Source organism: Homo sapiens, chromosome 9 (genome assembly GCF_000001405.40).
Source record: "Homo sapiens chromosome 9, GRCh38.p14 Primary Assembly".
In the NCBI taxonomy this organism is placed as follows: Eukaryota; Metazoa; Chordata; class Mammalia; order Primates; family Hominidae; genus Homo; species Homo sapiens.
In genome coordinates, this window is record NC_000009.12 from 135,847,858 (window position 1) to 135,861,698 (window position 13,841).

Genomic DNA, 13,841 nt, shown 5'->3' on the forward strand with positions numbered 1-13,841 from the left:
GGGGAGGGGGCAGGGAAGGGGAGGGGAGTGGGGGGAGGGGAGTGGGGGAAGGGGAGGGGAGTGGGGGAGGGGAGTGGGGAGATGGGAGTGGGGGGGGAGGGGGAGGAGTGAAGGGAAGGGAAGCCAGAAAGGACAGGGCAGTGGAGAGGGTGCTGCAGTCATGAAGGCATCAAACAAGGAAAGCCTATTCTACCTTAAATGCAAGAAGAATAGAAACGAATCTGAAAACAGGAGTCAGCAATAGCCTTGACTTAGGGCTAACCTCAGTTAAGATGAAGGAAGCAAGTTTCACAGCACTACAGTGTTTCTGGCTGTAAGATGGAATAGTTACCACAGAAGAAGAGTTGGGAAGGAAAGTTAAGTCCAGGGATGAAAAATTAGTTCAAGGTCACCCGTGAGGAAGCGAGGTGACTTAAGAACATTCTAACAGCAAGGTAACCCAGTTCTAAGCTTTTTGTCGTTATTCTTTCTTATTGTAAAATAGTGCACGCACACACAGAGAGAGAAACTGCATAAAACGTACATAGAGCTTGACAAATAATTATAAAGCAAAATCGAGGTAACCACCACTCGGGTCCAGAAGAGAAAGTCACGGGTCTGCCAGGAGCACCCAACGTGCCCAATGAACCACTGCCTTTTAGCCCCAGACACACACACACACACACGCTCACACATGCACACACACGCATGCACACACATACACACCCCCTGGAAAACACAGTGGAGCTCTGCCTGCTCTCCAGCCTGTCCATGTGATTCTGTGCCTTCATTATCAGGAGAATCTTCCTTGTAGCTGCTCGTGGCTGTGGCTCACACACACCCAGGGCTGCACAGCATCTTGTGGCATGGACATAGAACACTGCACCACTCTGACTGCAGAGGCACATCTGGGAGCTTCTTTTTAGCTGTTATGAGCAGAGCTGCTCTGAGCATCCTTTCCCTGTGTCCTGATGCACAAGTACCAAGTTTCCCTGAGGATACACCACAGGAATGGGCTTGCTGAGCCAAAGGGCAGGCAACCCACAGGACTGGGTAACACTGAAGAGCTTCAGAGGCTGCTCCAAGTAAAACAGTGACTCCAAGTAACACTCTCGCCAGCAGTGGTGAAAGGTGCACTCTCAGACACTGCCCCACACCTGGGCCCGTTCCAACGTTTTGCCACAAATATATCTGGAGGATATATACCCGCACAGATGCTCCTCAGCTTACAATGGGGTCATGCCCCAATAAACCCATCGTAAACTGAAAATATCAGTAAGTAGAAAACACACTGAATACACTTAACCTAGCAAACATCACAGCTTAGCCTAGGCGCCTTCAGTGTGCTCAGAACACTTACACTAGCCTACAGCCGGGCGAAATCTAACACACAGCCTGTTTTAGAATAAAGTGCTGAGTATCTCGTGTAATTTACTGAATGCTGTACTGACAGTGAAAAACAAAATGGTTGTAGGGCACAGGAAACACGGTTTCCACTGAACGTGCATCGCTTTTGCACCACGGTGAAGCTGAAAAATCTTAAGCATTGCAAGCTGCAGGCCGTCTGGGTGTCATCTTTAATTTGCATATCCTTGATGACTGAGGCCAAGCAGCTTTTCACAAATCAGTTAGGCACATGGGGTCCCACTCTCATCAAGAATCTGTTCTTTTGCCTTTTTTTCCTGTTGGCTCTTCTTTTTTCTTATGGCTATGAATGAGCTCTTTATATATTCTGGATACTAGTTATTTATCTACCACATACATTGCAAGTACCTTTTCCCCCTCTATAGTTATTAATAGTTGGGGTTTTTTAAAATTATCTTTATCATCTTTCAAGGAAAAGAAGGTCCAAACTTTAATGTTGCTGAATTTGCAATCTTTTCCTTTGTGGCTAATATTTTCATATTCTTTGTAAGAAATAATTTCTTAATCCAAGGTTATGAAGATATTCCTCTATATTATCTCCTTAAAACTTTCTAGATTGTCAAGCCTGACAGATTATTTTAATCTGTAGTAAACATTTTTTTTTTTTCAGTTTGTTCATTCTGGAGGTGAGAACAGCCATCCTGGAACTTTTAGAGTTGTGCAATTTTTAGAGCTGTGATTCGTAACCGAATAGTTCATCAAAATCACTTAGAAAGCCTTTCCCCAAACTCTCACGCCCGTCCCTGGGATTCTGACTCCACAGGCTCTTCCAAGAACTCTGCTGTGCGAGAAACATGGAACCACTGGAGAGTGCTTTCTGATACTCTAGGCTCTCAAGGAAACCATTGCCAACCTGGGGAATATCTGTCACTCACCGTCTTTCAGCTCCTGAACATCCCTGGGCTGAACAAAATCTGGCTTGACATTCTCGAACCACCAAAAAAGCTCCGCAATAAAAACCATAACATTCGGCTAAAAGACAAAAACAAAAAACCAAAGTATGATAAGCAGTTTATTCACACATGGTTTTAAAACTGCATGCCAAATAATTCGTTATTACCTTCAACACTAATGGCGCATACAGCATATCTTCCAAGGTGAGATAAAAACATTTATTAAGATATTCATTGGAGAATTCTCTCAGAAGCCGAATATTATACAGACTGTCGGCCATCGACGTTACCTCCTTTAAGCATATATCTAATAGACAAAAAGAAAATCACAATTTATTGTAAAGGTATTCTGCTTCGAGAGAGAGAGAAGCATTCTAAAATGAAAACCATTTTACATAAAGGTAGTAATGAAGATAATGACATTGAGAGATGTAGGGAGTATAGGATGTACAACAAGTAACACTAAGTATAAAAAGAAAACACTCAAGACAACTCCAGGAACCTCTCAAGTCTGAATTTGATGGTGAACATCCAGAAAGCATAATAGAAATCGCTCAGATCTCAAGAGTGGGCTTCCAAAACAAACAGCAACAATCACCTTTCACTTTACAGCAGAGCCATGCTGCACGTAGCGAGTAAATGTTGAGCCGAGTTTCTTCCGCCCATCAGAAACCCTCTGCACAAGGTTTCCGTGTTTGTAAAGGGCAGGGGGAAGGGAAATGAATAAAACGTAAAGCATCAGGCTCATCCACGCCCACTCAGTGATAACACAGGAATGTGACTAATCACAAAGATCAAGTGACAATGCATAGCCCAAGTCTCTTTCCATGAAGAGGTGGAGACTGGTGGCTATAGCATCTGCAGGGCAACTTTCCATTGCACGTGACTTTGCAGACCCTCCATGGAGGAAGCACCAGTATGGGCAACAAGTCACAGGACCAAAGAGCAGGCCTCCCCCTAGTCTAGGCACCCTGGTGTGGAGTGGGGGGTGGCCCTCAGACAAAGAGCCCTGCGGAGAGCACGGTGCAGCTCAGGACTCCGTGAGAAGTGACTTGACTTTATTTTGCCTGTAAATATATACATAGAGAAAAAATAGAATTTCAGAAATAACTTTTTACATAAATTTTATTTCTAAGGAAAAAACCATTTTCAAGGGTTTAGAAGTACGTACAAACTGGAGCCACAGCATCCAGAGTCGTTCATGAACTGCCCTCCACAGTCACCTAAGCAGCATTCATTCTCAAAAGAAAACTTTAAAGCTGAGGAACTGTGCACACTCACACTGCTAAGGATGTTTCCTTTTGTACAGTTCTGACCATCAAATGTTAACGTCTTATAGGCTTCAGATCTTTTCTTTTTTAGAAATAAAACAGCCGAAGTCATCTCCATCTCCAAAGGGAACCATTCTCCCAACACTGCCACAAACCCTTTCCACTCCTCCTGAGTATTCTACACACTGTCTGCATCCACAAGTAACACAAACAGTGTTGTCTCAGCCTTGAGAAACTTACATTCATGGTATCAAGCTATGCCTCATTTTAGCAGCCAGTTTTTGCCCCAAAACTCAGTATGATGTTTTCAAACAGATCTATGTTGATACGGAGAGATTTCCGTCACTCATCTTGACCGCTATATGGTCCTCCACGATTTCTCACAATTATGACAAATGCTGCCATCACAAAGCTTGCGTGTGCTGTCTATGCGTGTACAGACGGGTGTTGCCCAGGCATACTCTGAGAGGGGACTCGCTGGGCCACGAGCTAGGCACGCCCTCCTGTGTCACCTGGCAACGCCCTTCTGCCTGGTTGTGCCTCGCTCCAGTCCCACCCACAGCACTCCACAGCTTGCTCCTTCCCACCTGCACCGCAGCATGACCGACCTGTCCATGTCTGCCAGGCGGAGGGGCGTGAACACCTCCTTCTCAAACAGCATGCCTCTGATGACTGCTGTGGCTTTACTTTTTCATGGTTACTGGTCATGAAGGGTCCTCTCCTGTGGACCCTGTCCATATCTGCCTTGGGCTGTGCATCTTTTTCTTACCGATTCTAGAATTCTTTCTGGATTGTGGTTACGAAAGGACTGGATGACAGTCCTTCATCAGGTCACGTGTGCTGCAAATATTTTCAATGGGTACAGTTTATCATTTCATTTTGTTTATGATGTTCTTTTGTCACAGGAAAGTTTTACATTTTGATATGGTTACATTTAACAATCTTTTCTATTTGTGCTTTTTATAATTTTGGCAATCCATCTCTACACGAACATCATAAAAGTATTTGCCTTTATCTTCTCAAAATTCTTAAATTTTACTTTTCAGGTTTGCATCTTTACTCCGAGGAAGGGGTATTTCTGGCTCAGGTGGGGTGAGGTTTTACGGCACTTTCCCATAGAGATGTCTATGCCGCCATGTTCTTGACCAGCCAGCGCGGCTCCCTCGGTGAGGCCACCCCAAAGGCACCAGATTCCCTGCAAAGCATCTCTTTTCTCAGTTCTACATGTGGTTTATTCATCTGGTCCATGTGACTGCCCCGGAACCAAAACCACACTGTTTTTGGTAATGCAAAGTTAAGCAAAATTTGGTATTTGTAGGGCACATACCCTGCACATTCTTATTCTTCAAAACTACTCAGCTAAAATCTGGGACAATTTAAGCAACAAAATAAATAATGAAAGTAATGAATTATGACCTATTGAATAAAGTAAGATCCATGAGGCCATCCGGATATAAACAAACACATGAATAAAGAAGCAAGCAAGTGGGGCAAACGCTGACAAAATGGAAAGATGCACTGAGGCTGGAAGCCATCCACACGTGGAGAGACCAGCAGGTGAGAGTCTGATGAGAAACGTATTCACAGTCCAAAGCCTCTCCCCACAAATTACTAATGCATTCTAAAGCAAAAACAGCAAGCTTAGAAGTGGGGAAGGCCAGCACATGCCACCTGCACCAAGGGGTGAAGCTGGAGTCACCAATACGGAGATGTCCCAGTACCTTGCCCCTGAGGTGACACGCTGGGAGGACACACCGCAAGGAAACTCCAGACAAACACACCAAGGGCCACTACTCACAACCTTACTCTTCGAAAACATCAAGAGTCAAGAGAGGTAAAGGCTGGAAACGACTCCAGATGAAGGGAAACTATGAGGGGACGCTGGGCCAAGCAGGTGCTCCTGGGTAGTTGAGCGAGTCAGGACCAGGCTGGGGATCTGTGTGCCAACGTTAGCTTTCCCAACTTTTGCTGTGTTACTCTCAAATGGTTGAGAGAGACACAGAAATAACACAATCCAAGAGAATTTCTGCATTGCCTTGTTAATATCTGTGAAGACAAAAGTATTTACTGGACTGGCGACAAGTTTTCAGAACAATCTGGAGAAATCACAAGTTTTAATACTGACTGGGGATCTAAGTACACTTGTTTCAGTCTTCTCCCAAGAGAAATAGAAAAGCCGATGGATTTTCTTCGCCTCTCTTCTGCTGCACTTACTCCCAAATGCCTCCCAGTTCTCACATGACAAGAGAATGCTCATAGGGAGTGGGCACTGCAGTGCAGGGCAGGGGCACAGGGCAGCCCTGGCTACGGCTCCCACTACCTTCCTCTTGCCAGGCTCAGAGAACCCGCTCCGTCAGGACACAAAGGCACCGCTTCTCCTGGGCCTTCAATGGAACTGCACCTGCCACAGGTGGGGTCAACAGCCTATGAGGTCCAATCAAGTCCCTATGAGGCCCAGAGCCACGATCAGAAGGGGGCAGTGACTGCCCACAAGTGATTCCCTGCCCTTACTGAGATGACTGTAGAGAATCTGTTCAATTTGCGCTAATATTTTACATAGGATTTTCAATCCATACTAACATGGAAAGCCAGCCTAGAATTTCCTCTCATAGCCTACTCAGTGTCAGGGAATAATCCCCTTTTGGGCCACTCCATCTTTTCCTATTATCTGGGACACTTGACATAACACAGGAGCTGACAATTCCTTGAGAGTCTGGTGAAATGCCCCAGGAAGAAGTTGGTCCCTGTGGATGTATGTGTTGACTCCTGAGTCCGTTTCCTTTGTAGTTATGGGTCTATTTAGACTGCCCACCACTTTTGGCTTCAAAGAAGATTGCTCATTTTGTCTAACATTTCAAACACATATGGCACACAAATATTCTCAGTATTTTTATTTCAGTAGCTGCTATACCTGAATTCTTGATCAGTCTTTCCAGATTATCTATTTTATTAATTCTTTAAAACAATAAGCTTTTAGTTTTACATATTCTCTAGAACTTTGGAATTTTTTCTACTTTATTCACTTTTTGCTGTTAAATTTGCCAAAACTTTTTTTTTTTTGAGAGCAGGTCTCACTCTGTCATCTGGAGTGCAGTGGCACAATCACAGCTCATTGTGGCCTCAGCCTCCTGAGCTCAAGTGATCCTCCTGTCTCAGCTTCCTGAGTATCTGGGACTACAGGTGCACATCACCAGGCCAAGCTAACTTTTTAATTTTTGGGGTCTCATTAGGTTGCCCAGGCTGGTCTTGAACTCCTGGGCTCAAATGATCCCCCCGCCTCAGCCTCCCAAAGTGCTAGAATTACAGGCATGAGCTACCACACCCAGCAAATTTGCCAATTTTTGTTAACTTTTATTTTAGGTTTGGGAGGGTACACGTGAAGCCTTGTTACATAGGTAACCTCATGCCACGGGGGTTTGTTGTACAAATTATTTCATCACCCAGGAATTAAGTCCAGTACCCAACAGTTATCTTTTCTGCTCCTCTCCCTCCTCCCACCCTCCACCCTCAAGGAGACCCCAGTGTCTGTGTTTCCTTCTTTGTGTTCTTAAGTTCTTATCATTTAGCTCCCACTTTTTTTTTTTGAGATGGAGCTTCACTCTGTCACCCAGGCTGGAGTGCAGTGGCGTGATCTCAGCTCACTGCAACCTCCACCTCCTGGGTTGAAGCAATTTTCCTGCCTGAGCCTCCCGAGTAGCTGAGACTACAGGTGTGCACCACCACCCCCGGCCAATTTTTGTATTTTTAGTAGAGACAGGGTTTCACCTTGTTGGCCAGGCTAGTCTTGAACTCCTGACCTCTGGTGATCCACCCACCTTGGCCTCCCAAAGGGCTGGGATTACAGGCGTGAGCCACTGCGCCCGGTCTTAGCTCCCACTTGTTAAGTGAGAACACGCAGTATTTGGTTTTCTGTTCCTCTGTTAGTTTGCTAAGGATAATGGCTTCCAGCTCCATCCACATTCCTGCAAAAGACATGATCTCATCCTTTTCTATTGCTGCATGCCAAAATTTTAAAATTTGTATTTTACTTTAAGAAGCTGGCTGGGCTCATGCCTGTAATCCCAGCACTTTCAGAGGCCAAGGCGGGCAGATTACCTGAGGTCAGGAGTTCGAGACCAGCCTGGCCAACATGGCGAAACCCCATCTCTACTAAAAATATTAAAAAATTGGCCAGGTGTGATGGTGCGTGACTGTAGTCCCAGCTACTTGGGAGGCTGAGACACAAGAATTGCTTGAATCCAGGTGGTGGCAGAGGCTGCAGTGAGCAGAGATCGGGCCACTGCACTCCAGCCTGGGTGACTAAGGGAGACTTCATCTCAATTTAAAAAAAAAAAAAAAAAAAAAAGGCCGGGTGCGGTGGCTCACGCCTGTAATCCCAGCACTTTGGGAGGCCGAGGCGGGCGGATCACAAGGTCAGGAGATCAAGACCATCCTGGCTAACACGGTGAAACCCTGTCTCTACTAAAAATACAAAAAATTAGCCGGGCGCGGTGGCGGGCGCCTGTGGTCCCAGCTACTCGGTAGGCTGAGGCAGGAGAATGGCGTGAACCTGGGAGGTGGAGCTTGCAGTGAGCCGAGATCGTACCACTGCACTCCAGCATAGGCAAGAGAGTGAGACTCCAGTCTCAAAAAACACAAAAAAATAAAACAAAAACAAAAAAGCCAAACTATTTGTTTTGAAAAGCTTAAGAGAACTAGGTCTCTGCCTATATTAGTCCATCTTCACACTGCTGATAAAGACATACCTGAGACTGGGCAATTTACAAAAGAAAGCAGTTTATTGGACTTACAGTTCCACATGGCTGGGGAGGCCTCACCATCATGGCGGAAGATGAAAAGCACGTGTCACATGACGGCGGCAAGAGAGAGAATGAGAGCCAAGCTAAATGGGTTTCCCCTTATTAAACCATCAGATCTCATGAGATTTATTCACTACCACGAGAACAGTATGGGGGAAACTGCCCCTGTGATTCAATTATCTCCCACCAGGTCCCTCCCACAGCACATGGGAATTATGGGAGTACAATTCAAGAAGAGATTTAGGTAGGGACACAGAGCCAAACCTTATCACTGCCCATTCCACTCCTTCTGCCTGTGGCCTCGGTAAGAGAACACGCAGCCCCATCCCCTACCCTATGACTAAGAGGCTACAGCCCACTGTCACAACAGACAAGCACAGTGCAGGTGGTCCTCTGTGTGCCTCCCCAGCCTCTCTCCCCAGTGGCCACACAGCAGGATGTGTGATTAAACCCAGACTGAGTCTCTATACACCATAACTATGTAACCATCTTCCACAGCTGGGTTACACAGTGTCTCTACTTACACTCCTTGCACAACTCTTCATTTCTCCTGGATTTAATACTTGGCTCAGTTATTCACCTGTTATTGCCTCTGAGCCGGACAGGCCAACTGCCTCCTCCTGGTCTGTGCCTTTGTCCCACGCTCCTGGCCCATCCATGGGAAGGCTGGCACTGTGGATTTCAGCCTGAGCCTCCCTCCACCTCCTCTTCAGGATGGTGTGCGTGCACACACTCCCCAGCACTGGGAAGGCACCTCCCAGTCATCTTCCTTCCAGGACTGTGGCTGAGGAATCTGGTGTCATTGGGGCTGCCTGCTTGTGTGTAACCTGCTTGGTCTCTCCACAGTTATTTGGGATCTCCTCTTTCCCAGGGGTTCCGGAGCTCATCATGGTAGGCTTTGCCATGGCCCTTCTTCAGGAATCCTGCTGGCCACCCACTGGGTCCTTCCTACTTACCACGCATGTCCTTGGGACATTTTTCTACATTTTGTGTTGACTAAGTTCTTTTCTCCTATTTTCTCTTCTCTTTCTTCGTAGACTGATCCTGATTTTTCCATCTTTTTTCCCTTATTTCCCATCTCTTTGCTTTTCTGGTTCTACTTTCTGGGAGATTTCTTCAACTGTCCTCTAGCAGTTCAGTGGCTCTCCCATCTTAGCAACCAAATATTTCCTTCCCAAGAACTGGTTTTTGGCGGCTCTTTAGAATTTGCCAGAGAATTCTAAACAAGCTGTAGCACTCCAACAGCTGTTCTGAGTCTGATGATTCTGTACACAGTTATGTGCCACTATCTTGCAGACATTGTTTCCCAGAGTCCTGTTGTTGGTTCTGAGGTCCAAACCCTCTCATCTCTAACATTTTCTCCTGCTCACCTGCACCATCTCTGTTGATTTGGGTTCTCATTCAGGTCAGTGGCTTTCCTCAAATGTCAGGAATCTTTGGCTGCTGCTCCTAGTAAAGAGTGAGTCACTGTGAGTCTTTTTCCTGAGGCCGATTTCTGCAGAGAAGAATCCTTCCCTGTGTTGCATGTGGGGCAGGTCTGCATTATGGAGTCAAGTGAGAGAGACGGTGGCTTCTGGGGCAGGGTGCACCAGGAGGAGAACCAGTCTCACCTTCGGGTATGAAGAATTTTACACAAAAGCCCTGATTTCAGTGTCACCTCATCCCTACCTGCACCTGGGGTCTGAGGCTAGAGCCTATCTGGCTCAGTTCTCCTCAAGAGTGTCCCGCATCTACTGAGGGCATGTGAGGAGAAAGGCATCAGAAGCAAAGTGAACCTGAGCTCTCATTGCTGGAGACCAACTTTCAAGGAATCCACCCTCAGGCACTGCTGTCCACCAGCATCCTTGGTGCTCCGTTCTGCTGTCCAGGGTCCTATAGGATGAGCCTCTTTGCGTCCCCAGCTTGACACCCACCCCTCCTCCACTTTGCCTTTTTTTTTTTTTTAATTACTTCTCCATTAGAGGACTTGTTCAGAGTCCAGATATATCTTAGTTTCATCCAAAATGGAATCTGTAATTCAGTTCCTTATTCTCCTTGTTTGGGAGTGACTTCTGACTAACAGAAATGGATAGAAAACTGCCCTTCATTTCTCCTTCCTTCAACTTTTTTTGGGTTTACTTCTACGTTCTTTTTCTAGTAACAAATACCTACTCAACACCAACTGGCCCCAGACACTATTTCAGATGACTGGGATACATCAGTGAGCAAAACAGGTAAAACCCTGCCCCTGTTGAGCTCACACTAGCAAGTCCCACTACTCTTTCCCCTATGATCCATGAAATATTTAAATGCCTTCTCTGGCTTCCAGGCACTCAATCTTTAAGATTTTAGAATAACTGTGCATTTGTCAGGGTTCTCCAGACAGACAGAACCAGTAGGACATACGAGAAGGGATTTAATCAGAGAAATCTGCTCACATGATCACAAAGACAGAGAAATCCCACAACAGGCCATCTGCAAGCTAGTGAATCAGAGGTGGCAGCATGCCTGGGTCCAAGTCTGGAAGCCTCAGAGCCAGCAAAGCTGATGGTGCAGCCCCCAGGCCAAGGCCAAAGGCCTAAAATCCCCCAGGAAGCCATGGTGCAAGTCCCAGAGTCTAAAACCCAAAAAACCTGGAGTCTGATGTCCAAGGACAGGAAGAGAGAAGGTGCCCCACTCAGTAAGGGAGAGAGAGCAGAGAGCAGAGAGGGAGAGTCCCCCTCTTCTGCCCACATTGAAGGCAGGTCTTCCCTTCTCAAGCCACTGACTCACACCCATCTCCCCTGGAAACACCCTCAGAGACACACCCAGAAACAATGCTTCACCAGTCACCTAGGCTTCTCTCAATCCAGTCAAATTCACACCTGAAATGAACCATCATTAATTCACAGGCAGGAAAAGAAGCTGCATCTTCTAGTTGGTGAGTTCTCACTTTACTGCACTGTGGAGAATGTACTGATTCTTTGGGATCTGCTGCAGTCTCACCTGTGGCCTTAATCGACTGCACGTTTTATAAAGGCTCCCATGTTTGTCTTTACTGTCTGTAAGTGAGCAGATTCCACAGTGGCTGGTGCACTGGATGAAGCCTGAAGTCCTCTATGGCCTTACTAAATGATCTGCTTTATCAATCAGTTTCTGTTACATAAGTCAGCAATGTGGCTCTGTCCATTTCTCCTTGTAACTCTGCCATTTTGTTTGTTTGTTTGTTTGAGACAGTCTCGCTCTGTCACCCAGGCTGGAGTGCAGTGGCACGATCTCGGCTCACTGCAAGCTCCACCTCCTGGGTTCACGCCATTCTCCTGCCTCAGCCTCCCGAGTAGCTGAGACTACAGGTGCCCGCCACCACATCCAGCTAATTTCTTGTGTTTTTAGTAGAGACGGGGTTTCACCATGTTAGCCAGGATGGTCTTGATCTCCCAACCTCGTGATCTACCCACCTCGGCCTCCCAAAGTGCTGGGATTACAGGGGTGAGCCACCGCGCCTGGCCGTAACTCTGCCATTTTTTAAAATCCATTTTGATGTTCTGCTCTTAGATAATGAGCTTCAATACAGTCACACCTTCCTGTAAACTGTTCACATGATCATAATTGGCAATGACCCTGTATCCTTAGCAATTCACTCTGTCTTAAGATCCCCAACAGACATACAGGGCAGGCTGCACACAATGAAGGAAAAGTCAAATTTACGAACTAGAAGGTGGACTTCAGAAAGCATCCAGGGCCAGGTGCGGTGGCTCACGTATGGAATCCCAGCACTTTGGGAGGCCAAGGCAAGCAGATCGCTTGAACCCAGGAGTTCGAGACCAGCCCAGGCAACATGGCAAAACCCTATCTCCACAAAAAAAAAAAAAATAAAAAAATACAAAAGTTAGCCAGGCATGGTCGTACGTGCCTGTAGTCCCAGCTACTCAGGAGGTTGAGATGGGATAATCACCTGAGCCTGAGAAGTCCAGAGAAGTCAAGGCTGCAGTGAACCATGATCACACCACTGCACTCCAGCCTGGGTGACAGAGTGAGACCTTGTCTCCATAAAAAATAAATAAATAAAATAAAAAGCATCCAGAACTCAGCAGGGAGAATGTAAGAGATGAACACATAAAAGAAGGTCCCATGGCCAGGCGCGGTGGCTCACACCTGTAATCCCAGCACTTTGGGAGGCCAAGGCAGGTGGATCACCTGAGGTCAGGAGTTCCAGACCGGCCTGGCCAACATGGTGAAACCCCATCTCTACTAAAAGTACAAAAATTAGCTGGGTGTGGTGGTGGACACCTGTAATCCCAGCTACTCGGGAGGCTGAGGTGGGAGAATCGCTTGAACCTGGGAAGTGGAGGTTGCAGTGAGCCAAGATCACGCAGTTGCATTCCAGCCTGGGTGACAGAGCAAGACTCTGCCTCAAAAAAAAAAAAAAAAAAAAAAAAGTGCCAAGACAAGACCTGGAGGATGAAGAAAATCACAGCACATCTGAAGACCCCAACCCCTCCGCCGTCTTCTTTAAGGTGTCTAGTTCTCTTTTTAATGTCCATCATTTTAAATATCCTGTTATCTTTCACCCATGTCTTGGTGCCAAATCAGCTGCAGTGCCTGCTTTCCCTGCGTGGTTTCTGATTTTTCAAAGAGTTTGTCTTCCAGCAGGGGTTCTCCTCAGTGGGCAGCCAGCATGCCCTGGCTCATGGAAATGTCCCTGCACAGCCAAGCTGTGCTTTATCCCTGCCAGGGACCATGAGTTTCACTAGTTCTAGACTACTTGTTGCACTAACATTCAACCAGTATTCCCACGCCACATGGGTGATACACATCTCAACCTCCCTCTGATCCACCGTGTACCCAAGAGCTGCATTTCCTCCTTAAAGAGCTTCTCCTCCACATCCCCAGAGCCAAGGGCATCTGTCAGGCCTCCTCAGTTCACTCCTGGGCAGTAGGTGGAGTTTTCTAGTCCTCTTCCCAAAAGGTCCCAGTCACAGCTCCTGACAGCACATAGGCCCAGGGCCAAACGAACATGGAAACTCAGGCCCAAGGGGCCCCAGGGCACCTACCTGTCCTCCACTCATGAGTTTTCACTCAATGACAGAGACCGTCTCCTGGTACCTGAGGCTCTCTCCTTCTTCCTTTTTTTTTTTTTTTCCCCCCGAGACAGAGTCTCGCTCTGTTGCCCAGGCTGGAATTCTCTGGTGCAATCTCGGCTCACCACAATGTCTGCCTCCCAGGTTCAGACAATTCTCCTGTTTCAGCCTCCCAAGTAGCTGGGACTACAGGCACGCGCCACCACACCTGGCTAATTTTTAGTAGAGACAGGGTTTCGCCATGTTGGTCAGGCTGGTCTCTAACTCCTAACCTCAGGTGATCTACCGCCTCGGCCTTCCAAAGTGCTGGGATTACAGGCATGAGCCACCATATCCAGCCTGTTCCTTTAAGTGCAGCTATATATTTGTGAAACTATTTTATCTAAGAAACTATATTTTCTAGCATTTTTACGCCCAGTAGGAACAAGATCAATG

At 46.7% G+C, this 13,841-nt stretch overlaps 1 protein-coding gene across 9 annotated transcripts in view, besides 1 other annotated feature; it reads right to left on the reverse strand.

Moving 5' to 3' along the window:
• CAMSAP1 (calmodulin regulated spectrin associated protein 1) overlaps window positions 1-13,841 on the reverse strand; it is a 99,060-nt gene that overhangs the window by 39,371 nt on the left and 45,848 nt on the right. For all 9 annotated transcript variants that reach the window (NM_001437281.1, XM_011518273.3, NM_001437280.1 and 6 more), the window contains 2 exons: window positions 2,465-2,604; window positions 2,280-2,376 (listed from right to left, as the gene is read on the reverse strand). In NM_001437281.1, the coding sequence (NP_001424210.1) occupies window positions 2,280-2,376; window positions 2,465-2,604 (237 nt within the window). The remainder of the gene's footprint in view (window positions 1-2,279; window positions 2,377-2,464; window positions 2,605-13,841) is intronic.
• Window positions 2,866-3,160: an enhancer, noted in NCBI's record as "tiled region #6734; HepG2 Activating non-DNase unmatched - State 15:Elon". NCBI's record gives its function as "activates a minimal TATA promoter and a strong SV40 promoter by Sharpr-MPRA in HepG2 cells {active_cell/tissue: HepG2}" and the evidence as "EXISTENCE:reporter gene assay evidence [ECO:0000049][PMID:27701403]".